This window comes from Homo sapiens, chromosome 5, assembly GCF_000001405.40.
Source record: "Homo sapiens chromosome 5, GRCh38.p14 Primary Assembly".
NCBI classification, from domain to species: Eukaryota; Metazoa; Chordata; class Mammalia; order Primates; family Hominidae; genus Homo; species Homo sapiens.
In genome coordinates, this window is record NC_000005.10 from 125,350,163 (window position 1) to 125,375,468 (window position 25,306).

The following is a 25,306-nucleotide window of genomic DNA, read 5'->3' on the forward strand; positions in this document are numbered from 1 at the left end:
GTGAACACATTTTCTTTTGAATTGCCAAACCATGTCATATAATGTGTATGGCACATCAGAAAAACGGATAGTACTGCTTTTGGACTTGAGGTCTTAGGTTTAATTTCTATTAACACTTGAATTCATCTGACAATATCAAACGCAATCTCTGTGTGTTAAAGATTTGTTGCAAACTGTTCTTTAATTTTCCCCCCTAAACTATTTAGTACTAATGACAATTCCTGAAAAATAAAGAGACTCAGTGGATGTTATAGGTATCTGGTTTATAAACTACTAAGCAAAGGTCTTTCAAGTTAAAGTTTGAAATGGGCACAAAGGCTCCAAGAGTCCTTAGAATGAAAGTGTCATGGCACATTTGCAACTCTTTTAAAAACCTCTTTGAGGCTGAGTGCGTTTACGCCTGTAATCCCAGCAATTTGGGAGGCCGAGACGGGCAGATCATTTGAGGTCAGGAGTTCGAGACCGGCCTGGCCAACGTGGTGAAACCCTGTCTCTACTATACATACAGAAAAATTAGCTGGGTGTGGTGGTGTATGCCCGTAATCCCAGCTACTCAGGAGGCTGAGGCAGAAGAATTGTTTGAAGCTGGGAGACGGAGGATGCAAGGATGCAGTGAGCCGAGATCACGCCACTGCACTCCAGCCTGGGCAACAGAGTGAGACTCCATCTCAAAAGGAAAAGAAAAAACAATAACAAAACAACAAGAGCAAAATAAAAAAAAAAATTCCACCTCTTTGAGAGCTCGTTTGAAGTTTCTAGCAGGGGAGGGTAGCTACCCGTATACCCTTGATGGAAGGCCGGCCCTCCTCTATGAGGGATGGTTATCCTCTTTGAGCATGCAGCTTCGGGAGGGACGCACGAGGAGCGGTAAGGAAGGGAGGGGACACCTGCCCAGCCAACCGGATCAGCCAAATCAACCTTGGCGATCAATGGGGTGACATGTGTCGCAGCCAGATCACCCTCACATCCATTAACTCTTAAAACACTTCTTTGGATTCGCTAAAACTCTCCTTCTCTCTGTAGAACACAGTGACTAATGTCCATCATTCTCTCTCTGCAATCATCTAGCTAGCGGGCTGTTCTCAGGGGGGTTGTGCATTTGCCTCACCTGTTGAATTGGTGCCTACCAAGCATTTATTATGTTTATACTACACAAGTTTTACTTCCTGTTGTTATTATTTAATTTAATAAATATTACACCAAGTGGCAAAATACGAATGTCAGGAAAACAGTTTTGGGTTTCTCTGGAGAGAAATTTAATGCCAAGGAAAGACAAAGTTTTTTTTTGTTTTTTTTTTTGTTTGTTTGTTTTTTAAAGAAACCCCAAAACTTGCTATCAAATTAAGTGGATAAGACAACTATTAAAAAAAAAAAAGAGGAAAGAATGGCTCTTTAAATTCTAAGACATCTAAAGAAACAATCGGAATTCAAAGCTGATGCATCATGGAAGTCTTTCTTTTCTTTCTTTCTTTCTTTCTTTCTTTCTTTCTTTCTTTCTTTCTTTTTCTTTCTTCCTTTCCTTCTTTCTTTCTTTCTTTCTTTCTCTTTCTTTCTTTCTTTCTTTTTTCTTTCTTTATTTCTTTCTTTGTTTCTTTCTTTCTTTCTTTTCTCTCTCTCTCTCTCTTCCTTTCCTTCCTTTCTTTCTTTTTTTTTCGGTTCTCCCTTTGTCGCCCAGGCTGGAGTGCTGCAGTGTCGTAATCATGGGTTACTGCAACCTTTGCCTCCCAGGCTCAGATGATTCTTCCACCTCAGCCTCCCAAGTTGCTGGGACTACAGGCATGCAGCACCACACCTGGCTAATTTTTGTGTTCTTGGTAGAGATGGGGTTTCGCCATGTTGCCCAGGCTGGTCTTGAACTCCTGGCCTCAAGCAATCAGCCCACCTTGGCCTCCCAATGTGCTGGCTGGGACTACAGGCATGAGTCACTGTGCCTGGCCTGTTTATTTCTATTTAATAAACAACTATCTGGCACTTTCAATGAGCCAGTGCTGTTCTAAGGATTTTTCATCCTCCTAACTACTGTGTATGGTAGGTAATATCCCTTTTGACATATAAGGAAACTGAGGCACAGAGCAGCTATGCAACTTCCTGAAAGTCACACAGGTAGCAAGTGGCAGAGCTGAGATTCAGAACACAGGAGCTTTGTCCAAAGCCTCTTTGCTTCCCACTGTCTTATCCTGCCTCTTTTTATCCACCACAGTTTATGGAACTGTCCAACTAGCACATCTACTTGCGAGGTGGGGAAGGCTGTGGTCCTTCATCAAAAGACTAAAAATAAATGAATGTCTAAACCAAATTTACATTTTAGTTAAGCTAAAATGTTTACCTTTCTTCCTTTTTAAAAATAATTTCAACAGTTTTTGGGGAACAGGTGGTGTCTGGTTACATGAATAAGTTCTTTAGTGGTGATTTCTGAGATTTTGGTGCACCCATCACCCGAGCAGTGTACTCTATACCCAATGTGTAGTCCTTCATATCTCGCCCCCTCCCCACCCTCCCCCCAAGTCCCCAAAGTCCATTAGATTATTACACCTTTGTGTACTCATAGCTTAGCTCACACTTTTAAGTGAGAACCTATGATGTTTGGTTTTTCATTTCTGAATTACTTCACTTAGAATAATGAATGGTCTCCAACTCCATCCAGGTTGCTACAAATGCCGTTATTTCATTCCTTCTTGTGGCTGAGCAGTACTACTTTTTCATGGGATTTTTTTTTTCTTTTCTTGCTGGTTTGTCAGAGTTCCTTGTAGATTCTGGATACTAGTCCTTTGTGGATGCATAGTTAGCGAAGATTTTCTTCCATGCTGTGGGTTGTCTGTTTACTCTGCTGATTTTCTTTTGCTGTGCAGAAGCTTTTGAGGTTGATTAAGTCCCACCAATTTATCTTTGTTTATGCTGTATTTGCTTTTGGGTTCTTGTTCGTTAACTCTGCCTGAGTCAATGTCTAGAAGAGTTTTTCCAACGTTATCTTCTAGAATTTTTTTGGTTTCAGGTCTTATATTTCAGTCTTTGATCCACCTTGTGTTGATTTTTGCATCAGGTGACAGATGAGGATTCAGTCTCATCCTTCTACACGTGGCTTGCCAATAATGCCAGCACCATTTGTTGAATAGGGTGTCCTTTCTCCACTTTATGTTTTTGTTTGCTTTGTCAAAGATCCATTCGCTATAAGTATTTGGCTTTATTTCTGGTTTCTCTATTTTGTTTCATTGGTCTAGATGCCTACTTTTATACCAGTACCATGCTGTTTGGTAACTATAGCCTTGTGGTATAGTTTCATGTCGGTTAATGTGATGCCTCCAGATTGTTTTTTTTGCTTAGTCTTGCTTTGGCTATGTGGGCTCTTTTTTTGGTTTCATATGGATTTCAGGATTGTTTTTTCTAGTTCTGTGAAGAATGATGATGGTATTTTGATGGGAATTGCATTAAATTTATACATTGCTTTTGGCAGTATGGTCATTTTCACAATATTGATTCTACCCATCCATGAGCATGGGATGTGTTTCCATTTGTGTCATCTATGACTTCTTTCAGCAGTGTTTTGTAGTTTTCCTTGTAGAGATCTTTCACCTCCTTGGTAAGGTATATTCCTATGTATTTTATTTTTCTTGGAGCTGTGGTATAAGGGGTTGAGTTATTGATTTGATTCTCACCTTGGTCGTTGGTGGTGTATAGCAGTGCTACTGATTTGTATACATTGATTTTGTAAAGTGGGCATCCTTGTCTTGTTCCAGTTCTCAGCAGAAATGCTTTCAAATTTTCCCCATTCAGTATACTGCTGGCTGTGGGTTTGTCATAGATGGCTTTTATTACTTTAAGATATGTCCCTTTTATGCTCATCTTGCTGAGGGTTTTAATCATAAAGCAATGCTGGATTTTGTCAAATGCTTTTTCTGCACCTGTTGAGATGATCATATGATTTTTCTTTTTACTTCTCTTTATATAGTGTATCACATTTATTGACTTGCATATGTTAAACCATCCCTGCATCCCTGGTATAAAACCCACTTGATCATGGTGTATTATTTTTTTTTTTTTGACATGCTATTAGATTCTGTTACCTAGTATTTTGTTGAGGATTTTTGCATCTGTATTTGTGAGGGATATTGGTCTGTAGTTTTCTTTTTTGTTATGTCCTTTCCTGGCTTTGGTATTAAGGTGATACTGGCTTCATAGAATGATTTATGGAGGATTTTCTCTTCCTCTATCTTTTGAAATAGTTTCAGTAGAAATTGGTACCAATTCCTCTTTGAATGTCCAATAGAATTCAGTTGTGAATCCATCTAGTCCTGGACCTATTTGTTGGCAACGTTTTTATTACTGTTCCAATCTCACTATTTGTTATTGGTCTGTTCAGAGTTTCTGTTTCTTCCTGGTTTCATCTAGGAGGGTTGTATATTTCCAGTAGTTTATCCATCTCCTCTAGGTTTTCTAGTTTGTGTGCAAAAAGGTGTTCACAGTAGTCCTGAATGATCTTTTGTTTCTGTGGTATCAGTTGTAATACCTCATTTCATTTCTAATTGAACTTATTTGGATCCTCTCTCTTGTTTAATTATTGATGTTTTAAAATCTTTTCAAAGAAACAGTTTTCTGTTTCATTTATCTTTTGTATTTTTTTTTTTTTTGCTTCAGTTTCATTTAGTTCTGCTCTGATCTTTGTTATGTCTTTTCTTTTGCTGGGTTTGTGTTTGATTTGTTCTTGTTTGTTTACTTCATTGAGATGTGAGCTTAGATTATCTATTTGTGCTCTTTCAGGCTTTTGATGTAGGCATTTAATGCTATGAACTTTCTTAGCACAGCTTTTGCTGTATCCCAGAGGTTTTGATAGGTTGTGTCACTATTATCATTCAGTTCAAAGAATTTTTAAATTTTCATCTTGATTTCATTGTTGTCCCAAAATTCATTCAGGAGTCAATTATTTAATTTCCATGTATTTGTATAGTTTTGAGGATTCCTTTTGTAGTTAATTTTCAGTTTTATTCCACTGTGGTCTGACAGAGTGCTTGATATAACTTCAGTTTTCTTAAATTTATTGAGACTTTTTTGTGGCCTATCATATGATCTATCTTGGAGAATGATCTAGGTGATGATGAATAGAATGTATATTCTACAGTTGTTGGGTAGAATGTTCTGTAAATATCTGTTAAGTCCAATTGTTCTATGTTATAGTTTAAATCCATTGTTTCTTTGTTGACTTTCTGTCTTGATGACCTGTCTAGTGTTGTCAATGCAGTATTGAAATCCCCCACTATTATTGTGTTGCCGTCTACCTCATTCCTTAGGTTTAGTAGTAATTGTTTTATAAATTTGGGAGCTTCACTCTTAGGTGTGTAAATATTTGGGATATTTTCATGTTGGACTAATCCTTTTATAATTGTATAATGTTCTTCTTTGTCCTTTTTCACTGTTATTGCATTAAAGTCCATTTTGTCTCACATAAGAATAGCTACTCCTCCTCACTTTTGGTTTCCATTTGCGTGAAATATCTTTCTCCATCCCTTTACCTTAAGTCTATGTGAGTCCTTATGCGTTAGGTGAGTCCCTTCAAGATAGCAGATACTTGGTTGGTAGAATTTATCCACTCTGCCATTCTGTATCTTTTAAGTGGGGCATTTAGGTCATTTACATTCAATGTTACTACTGAGATAGGAGGTACTGTTCTATTCATGCTAGTTATTGCCTGAACATCTTTTTTTTTCCCCATTGTGTTACTGTTTCATAGGCCCTGTGAAATTTATGCTTTCAGGAGGTCCTATTTTGGTGTATTTCCAGGTTTTGTTTCAAGATTTAGGACCCGTTTTAGCATTGCTTGTAGTGCTGGCCTGGTAGTGGCAAAGTCTCTCAGCATTTGTTTGTCTGAAAAAGACTTTATCTCTCCTTCATTTGTGAAGTGTAATTTTTCTGGATACAAAATTCTTGGCTGGCAATTATTTTGTTTGAGGAGGCTAAAGATTGGACTCCAATCCCTTCTGGCTTGAGGGTTTCTACTGAGAAATATGCTGTTAATCAGATAAGTTTTCCTTTAGAAGTTACCTTTTGCCTCACAGATCTTACGATTCTTTCCTTTGTCTTGACTTTAGATAACCTGATGACTGTGTGCCCAGGCAATGATCTTTTTGTGGTGAATTTCCCGGGTATTCTTTGAGCTTCTGGTATTTGGATGTCTAGATCTCTAGCAAGCCCAGCGAAGTTTTCCTTGATTATTTCCTCAAATAAGTTTTCTGAACTTGTAGATATTTCTTTTTCTTCCTCATGAACACCAATTATTCTTATGTTTGGTCATTTGACATAATCTCAAATTTATGGAGGCTTTGTTCATTTTCTAAAAATTTAGTTTTCTTTGTCTGTGTTGGATTGGGTTAATTCAAAAGGCTTGTCTTCGAGCTCTGAAGTTCTTTCTTCCACTTGTTTGATTCTATTGTTGAAATTTTCCAGTGTATTTTGTATTTCTCTAAGTGTGTCTTTCATTTCTAGAAGTTGTGATTGTCTTTTCTTTATGTCTATTTCTCTAAAGACTTTTTCAATCATATCCTATATTGTTTTTTGAAGTTAAGTTGATTTTCACCTTTCTCTAGTAACTCCTTGAGTAGCTTAATAAACCTGCTGAATTCTTCATCTGGCAATTCAGAGAGTTCTTCTTGGTTTAGCTAGTGTGATCTTTTGGGGTGTTATAGAACCTTTTTTTTTTTTTCATGTTATCAGAATTACTTTTCTGGTTCCTTCTCATTTGGGTCGACTCTTTCAATGGAAAGATTTGGAACTCAAGGGCTGCTGTTCAGATTTTTATGTCCCAAGTGGTGATCCCTTAATGTGGTGCTCTCTCCCTTCCCCTAGGGATGGTGCTTCCTGAGAGCTGGACTGCAGTGGTTGTTACTGTGCTTCTGAGTCTACCCACCCAGTGGGGCTACTGGGCTCTGGATTGTTGTTGCAGAATGTCTGCAAAGAATCCTGTTATATGATTCATATTCGGATCTCCCAGCCATGGATACCAGCACCTACTCCAGTGGAGGTGGCAGGGGAGTGAAGTTGACTTTTTGGAATTCCTTGATTGTAGTTTTGTTCAGTGTGCTGGTTTTTCTCAAATGCTGGTTATGCTAGCAGTCAAATTGTCACATGGACAGACTCAGGACCTCTGATAAGCCAGGATGTTGCAGGCAGTGAAATTAGCTGTTGTTTTCTTCTTCCTTGGGGCAGGGTTGTTCTTGTATGAGTTGCTGTAATGGCTTGAGTTGGTTAGCCTCCAGCCAGGAGGTGGTGCTTTCAAGAGAGCACCAGCTGTGATAGTAGAAAGGAGATACAAGCTTACCCTATGTTGGCTAGAATAAGTATTTGGGTTTCTCAGGTGATGGGCAGGGCCATAGAGCTCCCAAGAGTTTATGTCTTTTGTCTTTGTCTACTAGGGCAGTAAACCATCAGGTTGGGGCAGGGTTAGGTGGGTCTGAACAAAAACTCACCTTAGGCAGTGCTTGCTGTGGCCACTGTGGGGGATGGGAGGTGCTTCTCAGGCCAATGAAGTTATGTTCCAAGGGGGTTATAGCTGCCTCTGCTGCATCATACAAGTCACCAGGGATGTGTGGGAAAGCCAGCAGTGACAGGCCTCACCCTGCTCCCACACAGCCAGCAAGGCCAGTCTTTCTCCTGCTGTGCCCTACCAGGAAGCTGTGCAGGGCTGAAATCTTGCCCCAGGCTACAAGCTTCCCCACTGAGAAAGCAAGTAGGGCTCTCAGGCCTCTCCCCTCCCTAACTTCCCACACTGTCAGCTGTGGCTTCTGCACTCCTATCTGCACTTCCCATTCACTCCCCTGGATTCTGCTTAGAAAAATTTGTGCTCAGTCAAAAATTATTAAAGCTCAGCTAGAAGTTTCCTTCACCCTGTGGCCCCTCCCCTGTTCTGCTGGCTTCCTCCCCAAGGGCTGCTCTGAGATAAAGCCAGGGATGGCTTCCCTGGGCTCAAGCTCAGGACCAGGAGTGCCTACAGGGCTCTTCCCGCTGCTTCTTCTACTTTCATATTTTGCTTGGCTCCCTGAATCTGTTTCAGCTCTAGGTAAGGTTACATCTTTCTCTCATGATCTGGATTTTTAGGTTCCCCTGTGGGGATGTGTGTTCAGATACAGACTTTTCCCTCTCTTCACACTTTGAGAACTCACAGTTTTTCAGCTGTCTTGAAGTTTGCAGCAGCAAGCCTCTTCTTTCAAAGGGTCTGTGAATTCTTTCAGTTTTCCTGTTATGTTCCTGCTGTAGTTCTTGGAGCAAAGGTTCATGATGTGAGTCTCCACATGCTGTTCTATTTGTCCAAGTGGGAGCTGCACATTAGTCCTGTCTCCTATCTGCCATTTTCCTCTCTTCCTTTTTGAATACCAGCTTTAACTCATTCTTATGTACTGATCTAATTCTGTTGGATAAGTGAGCTTCTACTCTACAAATAATGGCTCAACATCTTCAGTTACCATCAAGTTTTTTAAAAGCACCACTGTTTATTAAATTTGTTAGCAAGGCCAATGTTATCTACAAAATAAAAAAATTTGGATTAGATAATTTATCAGACCCTTTTTAATTCATATGTTTTGTGGTCACATAAGTTTAGCTTCTGAGTGGCTTTGTTAGCTTTACTTTGTTTTATGACCACAGATGTACATACCATTGACTTTGCCCATCCATTTCATAATTGGAAAACAGAGAAAGAGGTAAGTTAAATAGACCGAAACCAGCTCCACTATTGGCAAACCAACTATTGATAAGTCATTTTCTCTTGTGAAGGAGAAAAATCTCTTTTTTATTCTTATATTTTTTTTAAATTAAGAAGTAATTTATTTATTTATTTATTTTTATTCTTTATTTTTTATTTTTTTTAATTATACTTTAAGTTTTAGGGTACATGTGCACATTGTGCAGGTTAGTTACATATGTATACATGTGCCATGCTGGTGCGCTGCACCCACTAACTCGTCATCTAGCATTAGGTATATCTCCCAATGCTATCCCTCCCCCTTCCCCCCTCCCCACCACAGTCCCCAGAGTGTGATATTCCCCTTCCTGTGTCCATGTGATCTCATTGTTCAATTCCCACCTATGAGTGAGAATATGCGGTGTTTGGTTTTTTGTTCTTGTGATAGTTTACTGAGAATGATGGTTTCCAATTTCATCCATGTCCCTACAAAGGACATGAACTCATTATTTTTTGTGGCTGCATAGTATTCCATGGTGTATATGTGCCACATTTTCTTAATCCAGTCTATCATTGTTGGACATTTGGGTTGGTTCCAAGTCTTTGCTATTGTGAATAATGCCGCAATAAACATACGTGTGCATGTGTCTTTATAGCAGCATGATTTATAGTCATTTGGGTATATACCCAGTAATGGGATGGCTGGGTCAAATGGTATTTCTAGTTCTAGATCCCTGAGGAATCGCCACACTGACTTCCACAATGGTTGAACTAGTTTACAGTCCCACCAACAGTGTAAAAGTGTTCCTATTTCTCCACATCCTCTCCAGCACCTGTTGTTTCCTGACTTTTTAATGATTGTCATTCTAACTGGTGTGAGATGATATCTCATAGTGGTTTTGATTTGCATTTCTCTGATGGCCAGTGATGATGAGCATTTTTTCATGTGTTTTTTGGCTGCATAAATGTCTTCTTTTGAGAAGTGTCTGTTCATGTCCTTCGCCCACTTTTTGATGGGGTTGTTTGTTTTTTTCTTGTAAATTTGTTTGAGTTCATTGGAGATTCTGGATATTCAGCCCTTTGTCAGATGAGTAGGTTGTGAAAATTTTCTCCCCTGTTGTAGGTTGCTTGTTCACTCTGATGGTAGTTTCTTTTGCTGTGCAGAAGCTCTTTAGTTTAATTAGATCCCATTTGTCAATTTTGGCTTTTGTTGCCATTGCTTTTGGTGTTTTGGACATGAAGTCCTTGCCCACGCCTATGTCCTGAATGGTAATGCCTAGGTTTTCTTCTAGGGTTTTTATGGTTTTAGGTCTAACGTTTAAATCTTTAATCCATCTTGAATTGATTTTTGTATAAGGTGTAAGGAAGGGATCCAGTTTCAGCTTTCTACATATGGCTAGCCAGTTTTCCCAGCACCATTTATTAAATAGGGAATCCTTTCCCCATTGCTTGTTTTTCTCAGGTTTGTCAAAGATCAGATAGTTGTAGGTAAGCGGCATTATTTCTGAAGGCTCTGTTCTGTTCCATTGATCTATATCTCTGTTTTGGTACCCGTACCATGCTGTTTTGGTTACTGTAGCCTTGTAGTATAGTTTGAAGTCAGGTAGTGTGATGCCTCCAGCTTTGCTCTTTTGGCTTAGGATTGACTTGGCGATGCGGGCTCTTTTTTGGTTCCATATGAACTTTAAAGTAGTTTTTTCCAATTCTGTGAAGAAAGTCATTGGTAGCTTGATGGGGATGGCATTGAATCTGTAAATTACCTTGGGCAGTATGGCCATTTTCACGATATTGATTCTTCCTACCCATGAGCATGGAATGTTCTTCCATTTGTTTGTATCCTCTTTTATTTCCTTGAGCAGTGGTTTGTAGTTCTCCTTGAAGAGGTCCTTCACATCCCTTGTAAGTTGGATTCCTAGGTATTTTATTCTCTTTGAAGCAATTGTGAATGGGAGTTCACTCATGATTTGGCTCTCTGTTTGTCTGTTGTTGGTGTATAGGAATGCTTGTGATTTTTGTACATTGATTTTGTATCCTGAGACTTTGCTGAAGTTGCTTATCAGCTTAAGGAGATTTTGGGCTGAGACGATGGGGTTTTCTAGATAAACAATCATGTCGTCTGCAAACAGGGACAATTTGACTTCCTCTTTTCCTAATTGAATACCCTTTATTTCCTTCTCCTGCCTGATTGCCCTGGCCAGAACTTCCAACACTATGTTGAATAGGAGTGGTGAGAGAGGGCATCCCTGTCTTGTGCCAGTTTTCAAAGGGAATGCTTCCAGTTTTTGCCCATTCAGTATGATATTGGCTGTGGGTTTGTCATAGATAGCTCTTATTATTTTGAAATACGTCCCATCAATACCTAATTTATTGAGAGTTTTTAGCATGAAGGGTTGTTGAACTTTGTCAAAGGCTTTTTCTGCACCTATTGAGATAATCATGTGGTTTTTGTCTTTGGCTCTGTTTATATGCTGGATTACATTTATTGATTTGCGTATATTGAACCAGCCTTGCATCCCAGGGATGAAGCCCACTTGATCATGGTGGATAAGCTTTTTGATGTGCTGCTGGATTCAGTTTGCCAGTATTTTATTGAGGATTTTTGCATCAATGTTCATCAAGGATATTGGTCTAAAATTCTCTTTTTTGGTTGTGTCTCTGCCTGGCTTTGGTATCAGGATGATGCTGGCCTCATAAAATGAGTTAGGGAGGATTCCCTCTTTTTCTATTGATTGGAATAGTTTCAGAAGGAATGGTACCAGTTCCTCCTTGTACCTCTGGTAGAATTCGGCTGTGAATCCATCTGGTCCTGGACTCTTTTTGGTTGGTAAACTATTGATTATTGCCACAATTTCAGCTCCTGTTATTGGTCCATTCAGAGATTCAACTTCTTCCTGGTTTAGTCTTGGGAGAGTCTATGTGTCGAGGAATGTATCCATTTCTTCTAGATTTTCTAGTTTATTTGCGTAGAGGTGTTTGTAGTATTCTCTGATGGTAGTTTGTATTTCTGTGGGATCGGTGGTGATATCCCCTTTATCATTTTTTATTGTGTCTATTTGATTCTTCTCTCTTTTTTTCTTTATTAGTCTTGCTAGTGGTCTATCAATTTTGTTGATCCTTTCAAAAAACCAGCTCCTGGATTCATTGATTTTTTGAAGGGTTTTTTGTGTCTCTATTTCCTTCAGTTCTGCTCTGATTTTAGTTATTTCTTGCCTTCTGCTAGCTTTTGAATGTGTTTGCTCTTGCTTTTCTAGTTCTTTTAATTGTGATGTTAGGGTGTCAATTTTGGATCTTTCCTGCTTTCTCTTGTGGGCATTTAGTGCTATAAATTTCCCTCTACACACTGCTTTGAATGCGTCCCAGAGATTCTGGTATGTTGTGTCTTTGTTCTCGTTGGTTTCAAAGAACATCTTTATTTCTGCCTCCATTTCGTTATGTAGCCAGTAGTCATTCAGGAGCAGGTTGTTCAGTTTCCATGTAGTTGAGCGGCTTTGAGTGAGATTCTTAATCCTGAGTTCTAGTTTGATTGCACTGTGGTCTGAGAGATAGTTTGTTATAATTTCTGTTCTTTTACATTTGCTGAGGAGAGCTTTACTTCCAACTTTGTGGTCAATTTTGGAATAGGTGTGGTGTGGTGCTGAAAAAAATGTATATTCTGTTGATTTGGGGTGGAGAGTTCTGTAGATGTCTATTAGGTCCGCTTGGTGCAGAGCTGAGTTCAATTCCTGGGTATCCTTGTTGACTTTCTGTCTCGTTGATCTGTCTAATGTTGACAGTGGGGTGTTAAAGTCTCCCATTATTAATGTGTGGGAGTCTAAGTCTCTTTGTATGTCACTCAGGACTTGCTTTATGAATCTGGGTGCTCCTGTATTGGGTGCATATATATTTAGGATAGTTATCTCCTCTTGTTGAATTGATCCCTTTACCATTATGTAATGGCCTTCTTTGTCTCTTTTGATCTTTGTTGGTTTAAAGTCTGTTTTATCAGAGACTAGGATTGCAACCCCTGCCTTTTTTTGTTTTCCATTTGCTTGGTAGATCTTCCTCCATCCTTTTATTTTGAGCCTATGTGTGACTCTGCACGTGAGATGGGTTTCCTGAATAGAGCACACTGATGGGTCTTGACTCTTTATCCAGCTTGCCAGTCTGTGTCTTTTAATTGGAGAATTTAGTCCATTTCCATTTAAAGTTAATATTGTTATGTGTGAATTTGATCCTGTCATTATGATGTTAGCTGGTTATTTTGCTCGTTAGTTGATGCAGTTTCTTCCTAGTCTCGATGGTCTTTACATTTTGGCATGATTTTGCAGCGGCTGGTACTGGTTGTTCCTTACCATGTTTAGCGCTTCCTTCAGGAGCTCTTTTAGGGCAGGCCTGGTGGTGACAAAATCGGTCAGCATTTGCTTGTCTGTAAAGTATTCTATTTCTCCTTCACTTATGAAGCTTAGTTTGGCTGGATATGAAATTCTGGGTTGAAAATTCTTTTCTCTAAGAATGTTGAATTTTGGCCCCCACTCTCTTCTGGCTTGTAGGGTTTCTGCTGAGAGATCCGCTGTTAGTCTAATGGGCTTCCCTTTGAGGGTAACCCGACCTTTCTCTCTGGCTGCCCTTAACATTTTTTCCTTCATTTCAACTTTGGTGAATCTGACAATTACGTGTCTTGGAGTTGCTCTTCTCGAGGAGTATCTTTGTGGTGTTCTCTGTATTTCCTGAATCTGAACGTTGGCCTGACTTGCTAGATTGGGGAAGTTCTCCTGGATAATATCCTGCAGAGTGTTTTCCAACTTGGTTCCATTCTCCGCATCACTTTCGGGTACACCAATCAGGCATAGATTTGGTCTAATAGTCCCATATTTCTTGGAGGCTTTGCACATTTCTTTTTATTCTTTTTTCTCTAAACTTCCCTTCTCGCTTCATTTCATTCATTTCATCTTCCATTGCTGATATCCTTTCTTCCAGTTGATCGCATCGGCTCCTGAGGCTTCTGCGTTCTTCACGTAGTTCTCGAGCCTTGGTTTTCAGCTCCATCAGCTCCTTTAAGCACTTCTCTGTATTGGTTATTCTAGTTATACATTCTTCTAAATTTTTTTCAAAGTTTTCAACTTCTTTGCCTTTGGTTTGAATGTCCTCCCGTAGCTCAGAGTAATTTGATCGTCTGAAGCCTTCTTCTCTCAGCTCGTCAAAATCATTCTCCATCCAGCTTTGTTCTGTTGCTGGTGAGGAACTGCGTTCCTTTGGAGGAGGAGAGGCGCTCTGCGTTTTAGAGTTTCCAGTTTTTCTGTTCTGTTTTTTCCCCATCTTTGTGGTTTTATCTACTTTTGGTCTTTGATGATGGTGATGTACAGATGGGTTTTCGGTGTGGATGTCCTTTCTGTTTGTTAGTTTTCCTTCTAACAGACAGGACCCTCAGCTGCAGGTCTGTTGGAATACCTTGCTGTGTGAGGTGTCAGTGTGCCCCTGCTGGGGGATGCCTCCCCGTTAGGCTGCTCGGGGGTCGGGGGTCAGGGGTCAGGGACCCACTTGAGGAGGCAGTCTGCCCGTTCTCAGATCTCCAGCTGCGTGCTGGGAGAACCACTGCTCTCTTCAAGGCTGTCAGACAGGGACATTTAAGTCTGCAGAGGTTACTGCTGTCTTTTTGTTTGTCTGTGCCCTGCCCCCAGAGGTGGAGCCTACAGAGGCAGGCAGGCCTCCTTGAGCTGTGGTGGGCTCCACCCAGTTGGAGCTTCCCGGCTGCTTTGTTTGCCTAAGCAAGCCTGGGCAATGGCGGGCGCCCCTCCCCCAGCCTCGCTGCCGCCTTGCAGTTTGATCTCAGACTACTGTGCTAGCAATCAGCGAGATTCCGTGGGCATAGGACCCTCCGAGCCAGGTGTGGGATATAGTCTCGTGGTGCGCCGTTTTTTAAGCCGGTCTGAAAAGCGCAATATTCGGGTGGGAGTGACCCGATTTTCCAGGTGCGTCCGTCACCCCTTTCTTTGACTCAGAAAGGAAACTCCCCGACCCCTTGCGCTTCCCAGGTGAGGCAATGCCTCGCCCTGCTTCGGCTCGCGCACGGTGCGCGCACCCACTGGCCTGCGCCCACTGTCTGGCACTCCCTAGTGAGATGAACCCGGTACCTCAGATAGAAATGCAGAAATCACCCGTCTTCTGCGTCACTCACGCTGGGAGCTGTAGACCGGAGCTGTTCCTATTCGGCCATCTTGGCTCCTCCAAGAAGTAATTTATATACAGTGAAATACTCAGATCTTAAGAAAACAGTTCCATGAGTTTTGTAAATATATACACCCATGTAATCTATACTTCAATTAAAATACATGTATCATTTTCATCACCTTAGAAAGTACTTTTGTGCCCATCTAGTCAATTTCCATTCCACCATACAGGCAACCAATTTTCTGATTTTTTTTCCTATTGAGGAGTTTTTTTCTAAACACATTTGTTTTTAAATTGCCATGCAATATTGTACAGAACATCAGAAAAACAAATGGTATTGCTTTTGGAGTTGAAGATTTAGGTCTAATTTTATAATGCTTGGATTCATCTAACAATATAAAATTTCATTACTAAGCAAATAATACTATGCCAATTTCATTCATCTATTGAATACTGATTTTTAAAATGTCTTCTGAGAGAGGAAAGTATGAGTCCAAAGGCCTTGGGTTTTTCACAAGGTTTGCATGAATTTCCGTAAATAATGGAATTTTTCATGCTCTCTCTCTCTCTCTCCCTCTCTCTGTCTCTCATTCCTCATATGCAAATTGAGAGAATCAGACTAATGGTTTTCTAAGAAAGGCATCTTACAGATTTAACATTCTTTGATGCTGTATTGTTTCCTCAGAGCACTACATCTAAAACACCTTATAAATCCAAAATAAGTCATTACTTTTTTTAATATCCTTTGAATTATGTGGATGTTTATGTGGTTGTTGTAGAATGTGATACCTATGAAAGAAAAAAAATAATTTCAAAGTCCTTTGTTCAGTTAGTATCCATTTATTTACGTTTTTAATGCTATTGCATGCCTTCCCCCAAACTTGATGGCATCAAACAATAATTTATTACTATCTCAGTTCTGTGGCTTGACCGGATCCAGCAGGGTGGTTTTCACTAGGGATTTCTTATGTGGTTGCCATGAAATAGCAGCTAGAGGTGGCTGAATCTAGAGTAATCTGAAGGTGTCTTCACTCATATGTATTGGGTTGGGGCTTGGCATGGCTGGAATAGCTGGAAAAAGTTGGATATTTGTCATCATGCAGCTTCCCCACATGGCTCATTGATCTTCTTCATGGCATGGGGATTTCAAAATGCTCAGACTTTTCTTTTCCCTTTTTTTTTTTTTTTTTTTTTTTTTTTTTTTTTTTTTTACATAGTGGCTAGCTTTTCCCCAGAGTGAGTGATGTTACCTAGAGAGACAGAATCCTGCTGCTAGGCTTCTGTGGGTCTAGCCTATGAAGAAGCCTAATCATAAAGTATATCTTATCACCATCTCAATCTTTCATTTGTAATTTAGTAACTACACCTACCCAGATACAAAAGGATGGGAATTAGACTTCACTCCTGGATAGAAGGCCTGGTGCCATGGCTCACGCCTGTAATCCCAGCACTTTGGGAGGCCAAGGCGGGCAGATCACAAGGTCAGGAGTTCAAGATCAGCCTGGCCAGCATGGTGAAACCGCGTCTCTACTAAAAATACAAAAATTATCTGGGCATGGTGGTGCGTGCCTGTAATCCCAGCTACTTGGGAAGCTGAGGCAGGAGAATTGCTTGAACCCGTGAGGCAGAGGTTGCAGTGAGATGAGATTGCACCACTGCACTCTAGCCTGGGTGACAGAGCAAGACTGTCTCAAAAAAAAAAAAAAAAAATTGCAGCCATCTTTAATCTAACATAAAGAAGTTTATATTTTTAGATCTGTAGCCTGAGTCTCTCTCTTTTCTATGCTTAACAAACTTTAATGTATAATTAATCATTTAATAGTTAACTCATCTATAAGTCAAAAGATCTCATAATTTTTAATTATGGAATCTTGACCAAATTACCCCACCTATTTTAAATTTGGACTTTTTATCTGTAAAACCTGTCCTCTCTCCCTTTCAAAAGGATTATATGAGTCAGATGTGATAACATATGTAAAAGTATAAAACTATGAAAATCATGGAAATGTAAGTTATCATCTTGGTTATTAAAATAATTTTGACTCCATTTTTTTTTCCTGCAAAACAGTGAAACAAAATAAATGTCTTCTTAAAGTAGTTGAATTTCCCAAGTTGGTTCTACATACATCACCTTTTTCCTTTGCCATGAACGGCCATGCTCACAGAGCCCTTTCCTGAGCTCTGTACTTAAAATGGCCTCTGAGGCCAGGTTCAGTGGCTTACCCCTGTAATCCAAGCACTTTGGGAGGCTGAAGCAGAAGGATCACTTGAGGCCAGAAGTTCAAGATCAACCTGAGCAACATAATGAGACCCCATCTCTAAAAATTTTTTTTTTAAAAAACTAGTCAGGTGTGGTGGCATGAGTCTGTAGTTTCAGCTACTTGGGAGGCTGAGGTGGGAGGATGGCTTGAGCCCAGGAGGTTGAGGCTTCAGTGAGCCATGATCATGCCACTGCACTTGAGCCTCGTGACAGTACAAGAGCCTGTCTCAAAAAAAAAAAAAAAATTAAAATAGCTTCTGACTATTGAGCTTACCATACTTTTAAAAAATAACACTAACTCTAATCTCCACCTAAAAAAAATTGCATATTCATTCATCTACCTATTTGTTTTCCGTCTCTTCTAGAACATGAGATCTTGTGGACAGAGACTCAGAGTTTCCTCAGTGCTGATAAGAAACTGGCAATTACCAGACAATTAACAAACATTTTTGAATAAATGAATGACTGAATAAATGACTGGTGTTATTACCGTTGACCCATCTGGCATCCTAGTTTTGAAGTTTCTTTCCCTTTATAGCTCTTACAGCTTTCACTTACTTTTGCCTTCAACAATATATTATAGTTCATCTTGAAACTAGTCACTTCCTAGAGTGACTCCTTTTCTCAGTCTTCCCTGTCTAATTTTGGCCTCTTACAGCTATGATAAAATCTTGGCAATCCTTTTTGTGGCATGTCTCTGAAATATGTCTCATTCTTTCCATTTTTACTACCATTGTCTCAGGCCAGGGATTTATCATAGTCTCTTATCTAAATTGTTACAAAAATACCCTAGGTAGTTTTCTTCTTCACTGTTTTCTAAAAGCATTAGCATCCTAAAACATTGATTTTTGTAATATTATTCTGCTCTTCACAAAACTTTGGGTGGTTTACCCATGGCTATGGGATGAACTTCAGGCTTCTAAATATTGTAGTCTTGTTGTGTCCTTATCTAGTTTCTGTCCACCTTTTCCAGCTGCATGGACTTCCAACACTCCAACAACGAAAGCCCTCTAAACTGGTGTGTTTTCATCTCAAGTGGGCATACAAATCACCTAGAAATATCGTTAAAATGTAGATTCTGATTCAGAAGTCCAAGGATGGAGCTTGAGATTCTGCATTTCTAGCAAGCTCCCAGGCGATGCCAATGCCTCCACTCAAGCCTCTGTTGGAGTAGGAAGGCTCCGTCATTGAGCGTAGATGCCACGTGCTTCTGCCTGTCTGCCTTATGCTGTTTCCAGGCTTGAAGGTTCTTCATTCACCTCTCTGTCTGGTGAATTCCTATAGTCTGAAGATCTAAATCAAACATCATCTTCTTAAAACCTTTTTTTTTTTTAACCTTTTTCAGGAAGAATTGATCATGTGTTTTCTTTTTTTCTTTTAATATTTTTAATTTTTGTGGGTACATAGTAGATGTATATATTTATGGGGTACATGAAATATTTTGATACAGTCATGCAATGTGAAATAAGCACATCATGGAGAATGGGGCATCTATCCCCTCAAGCATTTATCCTTTGTATTACAAACAATCCAATTACACTCTTTTAGTTATTATTGACTATAGTCACCCAGTGGAATCATCTGTCTTTTTACAGTACTTTGTCGATATTTAGTTGTATATATGGTTTTCTTTTTAAATTGTGCATTCCTTAGAGGCAGTGATGGTGCCATCACAGTTGGGAATAAAAACGTCATACCCAAAGAAATTATTATATCATGCATAGAGTGTATATTATATAAAGTATAAAGTATATCCACAAAATCCCCTGGAAATACAGGAGTACCTGAAACAATTGCCATATGTCTATTATGTGCTAGTTTACCACACTATATTTAGTGCATAGCAGGTGTGCAATACCGATTTGTTGAAACTGTTTTGAAGAATTAAGTCCAAAAATTGACTACAAAAAATGCTAGTCTGGTTGTCCGACTTTGGGATTTTCTGTTGGAAAATTTGTTAGGCCATAAATTATTTTCCTGAAAAATGTATAATATTTACTATCGTACTTAATGATCCAAAAATCTGTACTGAATCAGAAGTAGAAATGTTAAAGTAATTACATTGAGAAGTCAATTTAACGAATACCTGGTATGTGACAGCATTATTTCTATAATTTTTTATTGCCCAATTTATCACTTTTATTGTTCATTTACTTATGTTATATAGTTTCAGAATGAATTATAATATCTATTCCTCTCCCCCATTTTTTTCCAATATGAGCCCTTACAAAGCCACAGAAAGCTTTTATGTGAACAGAGTTTTTATATTTGTTAAAGTGAGTCTATTTGATTCTTATGTGCTTTGGATAATTTCCCTAGAGTCTTTCCTTAATTATATCATACATGTGTTAAACAAGCACTTGCTTTCTTGCAGTCCAACTCAACTTGATCATCCAGAGTGGCCACAGGACTCAAACTGTGCTGTTTATTATCACTTAATGTCTGTGGTCTTCTAAGCACAGAATTCTGAGTAGAAAAGCAAAGCCTTTGCATGATATAAATATTTGTATCTCACAAAAAGCAGGAGAAATGTACAACACGGCTGGCACAGGTCATGACATGATGTTGGCCACCCCCACCCCCTCTTCAGATGCAAAACGGGAAATAACAAATATCATTTGTTACTATCACAATGAGGTAATTTTTCCTGTTGGGATATACAGAGAAAACTCTGTAAGTATGATTAAAACAACAAGAAATCTGATTTAGCTTTAGCTTCATACCCTGTTAAGAACTCCCTGCACAATTTTGGCCTAAATTTTAGTACATTATATACTTGTTATGAAAACCTTTAACTGAAGCTTTGCAAAATGCTTCCAAAATAGGCTTAGATCACCTAACAAATCATACATGCCAACAGAATAATGTTACTTCCTAGTTCCAAGTTTATTGTGTTACAGAACTTTAAGGATCAAATGAATATAAATTTACAAAGACACTACCGATTTTCCACTTGGAGCATGAACTGAATAATTTAAAAAGAAATGTAATAGTAATCCAAATATTGCCCAAGTTGTTCTTAAACCTATTAAACAGAGATGAGTAGGAAAGATTGATAATGTTGAAGGGAAAGGGAGGCTTTTAAAGTAAACTCCAGCAAAGAGTGAAACATTAATGTATCGGTTTGGTTGGAAGAGATCTGGAATATCAAGCAAACTCTACTTTGTAAGCTTATATTATATCATGATGGCAACTGCAAATTATAAATCAGACAGGTTTGTATTTCCATAGGCAAATGGAAATTTTCCTTCATGAATTTGGACAGTGTGAACCAGAGTCAATTCAACCCTGTCTGTGAATAAGTAGCTCAGTTTATTGAAGCATGATTCTTTAGTTTAAGCATAGAGATGGCTACTATCTATGCTGTGTGGGTAGCTAGCTAGCTTTGGTGTTTTTCATGGTAATGGGACACCCCATTCATGAAAAGCCATCCTAAAATTGTCCACAGTTGTTCTTTGCAAGGAACCAACAAAGAGGACTGTGGTCTGATTAGCATAACACATCTAGGCTTCTGTCTCTTGAGAATAAAAGCATGTGCCCCTTTTAGATGGTGAATCAGAGGCTTTATCTTTGCATCTAAGGGATGGTAATAGTGAATATTATTATTATACATGGAAATCATTGGATTTTGTCTCTCTTGCTTAGATTTTTATTTGGATAATATATTGAGGGTAAAGTACCCTGAAGCAAAGAAGAATGTCTGTTCCTGCTCCCCAGCCAAAGGGTGGTAAAGAGAAGGGCTTCCAGATCTGAAATACAAATAACTAGAAAATTGCAGTTTCCCTTGGGACTGGGGGTGGTGATTAGCCCATGAGACTAGTAACAAGAAGATGGCAAAAGAGAAAAATGCCCTGCTTGGGAGTGGTTTTGTTTTTTGTTTGTTTAATTAATTCATTTATTAATGTAACTGCAGTATAGGAAATAAAGAGCTATTTCCTTTGCTAAGATTAAAAGTTTTAAATGAAAACTCTGCAGCCATCTAAGAAAGTAAAAGGAGGGGAGTAAGAAATGACCACCACATGGCCATCTAAGGCACCAGGAGAGTTTTCTATGTCAGCAGGTAGAAGAAAGTGTCACACAGCAGAGGCATTACTAATGTAGGGAGAAGAATGTTCTGTCACCTCTAGTCATTTACAGACCCAAGAGATTGAGGCATTGTGAGATATTTACACAGCATATTTGGATTGTATGGTTAATGCTTGTTGCTTTCAGTTAAATTTCTTCCTAAAGTACTACATAGTGTTCTTTTCAGTAGGAAGCTTTGACCTATCCTATAGAAATTGTTTTGCAGTTGCTGAGTGGGGGCTTCATGTGAAAATAAAAGCCCCTTAAAAAAATCACCCAGTCCTTTGGGCCAAGGTCATCTTAACACTAGAATTAAATTATGCTAATATTAATTGAAATTCAAGGTGTTTGCCCTATATAATCCACTCATCTCTCCACTTCACTTTGCCTGCAGAAACAGTCAGACAGTAATTTTTATTAAAGCACAAACTCAAATGTAGGGTTCACTATAAAATAATTCAATGAGATTACAGAAGATATGACTAATACAAACGAGTTGGTCTTTGAACTTGTTTGATTATGAATAGAAATGCTGACTTCAAATTCCCTTGAGATGAAAGTTTGCTAGATTGATCTGTTTTCTTTATTTCTTTTGTCTTCTCTTTCTTTTCCTTTCAGTTCCTTTTTTCTTCCTTTTTCTCCCTCTTTTTTTTTTTTTTTTCTATTTTTTTTTTTTTTTGAGACGGAGTCTCACTCTGTCACCAGGCTGGAGTGCAGTGGCAGAATCTTGGCTCACTGCAACCTCCGCCTCCCAGGTTCAAGTGAGTCTCCTGCCTCAGCCTCCTGAGTAGCTGGGACTACAGGCGTCCGCCACCTTGCCCGGCTAATTTTTTTGTATTTTTAGTAGAGACGGGGTTTCACCTTATTGGCCAGGGTGGCCTCAATCTCTTGACCTCGTGGTCCACCCACCTCGGCCTCCCAAAGTGCTGGGATTACAGGTATGAGCCACTGTGCCCAGCGCTTTCTCTCCCTTTTTATTTTTCATTTTCATTCTCTTTATTCTAATGTCAAGGTAAACACCAGTTCTTGGTGACTTTTTTTTAAATAAAGTTTTTTTTTGCCTAAATAAGACATAAGCAACTTGATCCCTCACACTTAATACATCCAGTCCTAACTTGTATTGGAAAGCTAGTTCCAAGGCTGGTGTTTTGTATATATGGTGAGCCTAATACCACAGATGGCCTCTGTGTGGATGCAGGGACCCTACATTGTAGATTATTCTGAAAGTTCTACTATTAATAGCCAGTGTAATAATTGAACACTTTCTTGATTAGCTTATTTTGTGGAGTGGGGGGAGTGGAACAGAGGACAAAATGATTTCTTATGCTTACCCAGAGTATGGAATAACTGCGAGGCATTGCTTAAAGCTATTTAATTAAAATATTAAAATGACCAAAAAACACAGGAATCGCCAGCAATGTTACGAGTCAGCAGTGGAAATGTTCCTTGTCAATCATGGGAAGAATGCTGAGCTTCAACCATCTCAAGCGCATATAACCCCATTGGTTTTTCTTTTTGGCAGTCTTGGTCCAAAAAAAAAAAAAAAAAAACCACACCAAAAAAACCTCAAAACATTGATCATGCCAGGTTAGATTTTACCAGGGATTTAAAGTCACCACCACCCTCCACAGCCCTCATTCATGCTCAGCTGCTACAAATAATGGCCTAGCACGAATTGGTTTACAATCCTGGTGGACTCCTACAGAGCTAATAAATCCAGAAATATTACTTGGATGGAAACATATGATAATCACATGATGACTTTTTAAATACATTCCGTAGTCTCATGTATAAAAATAAAAAACGTGCAGGGCTTAGATATCCCTTCATTGTATCAAATTAAATTGGATTTAATGCCTGGTGGTGTGTCATCCAGCTCAGACCCATTTGCACAAGGCTGTGGAGTACAGAGCTGGTTCAGATGAATGAATAGCTTTCTCATGACTTCACCCCCACTCTGCTGTCTCTTTTCCTGTCCTTTGTATTGTAATGGAGGACAGCTGTGGCAGTGAAGTGAATATTAACTAACCCCAGTGCCTCAGCAGATTGTGACTTTAATCCTGGCAAATACCACTAAAATCAAAATTTAATTACACTCAGAGTAGCTCTGTTAATGCCTAAAAAATATTTAACAATTAGTGGTTGGCTTAATTAAGCAAACTGCCTTTCACAAAGCAACCTGAAAAGTCCTCCCAAGCCCTTCCCCCACCCCCACCCCCTTTTTTTTAATCCCTTAGACTAATTAGTCTGATGTAAACTCACAGCACTTCATTTACTGTTACTGAGTCTGCTGTTTAGCTGATCTAGGCTCTGAGCTTAACAGCTTGTAATAGAAGGGAAGTTGTAAAAAGAAAGAAATTAGGTTCACTGCACACAGCTAGTTAATAAAAAAAAATCCTTTTAATAAACCACCAATCATCGCTAGTCATTTCCTCATTCATATACATATATATGTATATATCAGAATGGCTTATTTCAGTTACAATATTAGTTACAGGAGATTCAGGAAAGCCAAATAACAAATATATTAGTGAAGAATCACTTCTATCAAAATAATTATTCTGTGTCCATATAGATTGAAAAATACTATTTACATATAAATTTGGAAGAGACAGATCCTTTTTTGTAAACTAAACAACCAAAGAAATAAAATAAAAAACAAATGAAGAATGATGGAAAAATCATTAAAATTTAAATCCCATTCTCTGATTGATGCGTGATACTACCTGACCTGTTACATGTTCATTCACTCATCCAAACATCAAACATTTATTAATGATATAATGTGACTCGATGGGATGATACAAATACATTATTGTAAATCTGTACATTGACACCTATAGAATGTTTTAAAATGCCACAACAGAAAAGTTTATATGACCTATCTACTGAGTATCATTTTCTACTTGGATTCTTAGAAAAGACCTTGCCATTAATAATTGCGAGAATAAAACACAGTAACACTTCAAAAGGTCTCTTATTCAGCAAGCTAAGAAAAGAAACAAGAATCATAAAATAACAACAAAAATATTGCCATTGAGAACCAAAACAAGTCCCAGAGCTATTAAAGGAGCTTAAAGACCACTGAGTCCAGCTCCATATTTTACAGAAGAAAAAAACTGAAATTCAGAGAGTTTAAGTGATTTTCCAGGGCTATATGAAGAACTATTATCAAGTTCATCAGAAGGTCACCTGAGGCCCCTCTAGGCCCCCATTCCAGGCATGTTCCCTTTTATCTGATATTGGATACAATTATAGCAAGATGCATTATTTGATTTCCCAAACTGCAGCAGATTAGAAGTCACAAATTAGAGGCTGAAAGAGAATTTCTAGAGGCTTAGTGTTCAGATGCTGTGAAACATGAGAACACATGATAAAATTTGGAACCTGCTAAGCAAAAATTAATCTGGACAAGATGGTCTCTTGGTAACACTCAAATCTAGGGGACAAATAAATGTCAGAAAAAAATTCTTAATTTTACAATGCAGAACTGTGCTGCCTTTGATCATCCTATTTGATTGTGTATGCATAGTATTTGTGTGTGTGGGTGTGTGTGTGAGAGAGAGAGAGAGAGAGAGAGAGAGGAAGGAGAGAGAGAGATTCTCTCCTTCAGGGCTTTTAAGATAATACTGAAAAAGATTGAGATAATAAGCTAATTTAGTGATTTTCTTTTTGAGACTATCAAAAGAAAAATATTTTTCTCTGCTCCTAGAAAGTGCCTACTGAGGGTTTTAGTGTAAGTGATATGTTCATTTTTCAATCTAGGAAATAAAAACCTGTAATCTCCCCCATATGAGATGGTTTCACCTGTATGGATTTCTTTAGGCCTTCCTTTTGTTTCATATTTAAAACTAGTTTTTGAGAATTTTGGTTGTTGCTTTAATTCAACAATTAGGAGACAGAAATGAAGACAGCAAGTATCATTCATGTGTATGTGTCTAAAAGGATGTTAGGTACACCACACCTAACTGCAAGCACTCTGCAACCCGGTACAATTCTGTACATTTCCATTTAATTGGCAGGCTGTGTTTCAAGTCTCATGGTTGGTTGAGGATGAAGATGAATTTGCAGTTCATAGTACAGAAGAGGAAGTACATATGGTTTGTGATTGAGATACTTATGTTTTGACTGAAGAATTGTGCAGCATCTGGCAAGTGTATAAATCCTTC

The 25,306-nt window shown here is 38.7% G+C and overlaps 1 long non-coding RNA gene and 1 pseudogene across 1 annotated transcript in view, besides 3 other annotated features; one reads left to right on the forward strand and one right to left on the reverse strand.

Annotated features, from left to right (window-relative positions):
- The window catches only part of LOC101927421 (uncharacterized), a 330,904-nt gene extending 313,332 nt beyond the window's left edge, over nt 1-17,572 (forward strand). Inside the window, exon 6 of the long non-coding RNA NR_109882.1 lies at nt 17,438-17,572. This is a non-coding gene — a long non-coding RNA (uncharacterized LOC101927421). The remainder of the gene's footprint in view (nt 1-17,437) is intronic.
- Nucleotides 706-969, reverse strand: RN7SKP117 (RN7SK pseudogene 117; annotated as a pseudogene).
- Nucleotides 13,984-14,551: an enhancer, noted in NCBI's record as "H3K27ac-H3K4me1 hESC enhancer chr5:124699839-124700406 (GRCh37/hg19 assembly coordinates)". NCBI's record gives its function as "activates a minimal SCP1, AML or CMV promoter by ChIP-STARR-seq in naive H9 embryonic stem cells {active_cell/tissue: H9 hESC(naive)}" and the evidence as "EXISTENCE:reporter gene assay evidence [ECO:0000049][PMID:30033119]".
- Nucleotides 14,552-15,118: an enhancer, noted in NCBI's record as "H3K27ac-H3K4me1 hESC enhancer chr5:124700407-124700973 (GRCh37/hg19 assembly coordinates)". NCBI's record gives its function as "activates a minimal SCP1, AML or CMV promoter by ChIP-STARR-seq in naive H9 embryonic stem cells {active_cell/tissue: H9 hESC(naive)}" and the evidence as "EXISTENCE:reporter gene assay evidence [ECO:0000049][PMID:30033119]".
- Nucleotides 22,480-24,537: an enhancer, noted in NCBI's record as "VISTA enhancer hs1371". NCBI's record gives its function as "enhancer in: midbrain (mesencephalon)[7/8] | forebrain[8/8] | limb[6/8]" and the evidence as "EXISTENCE:transgenic organism evidence [ECO:0001131][PMID:17130149]".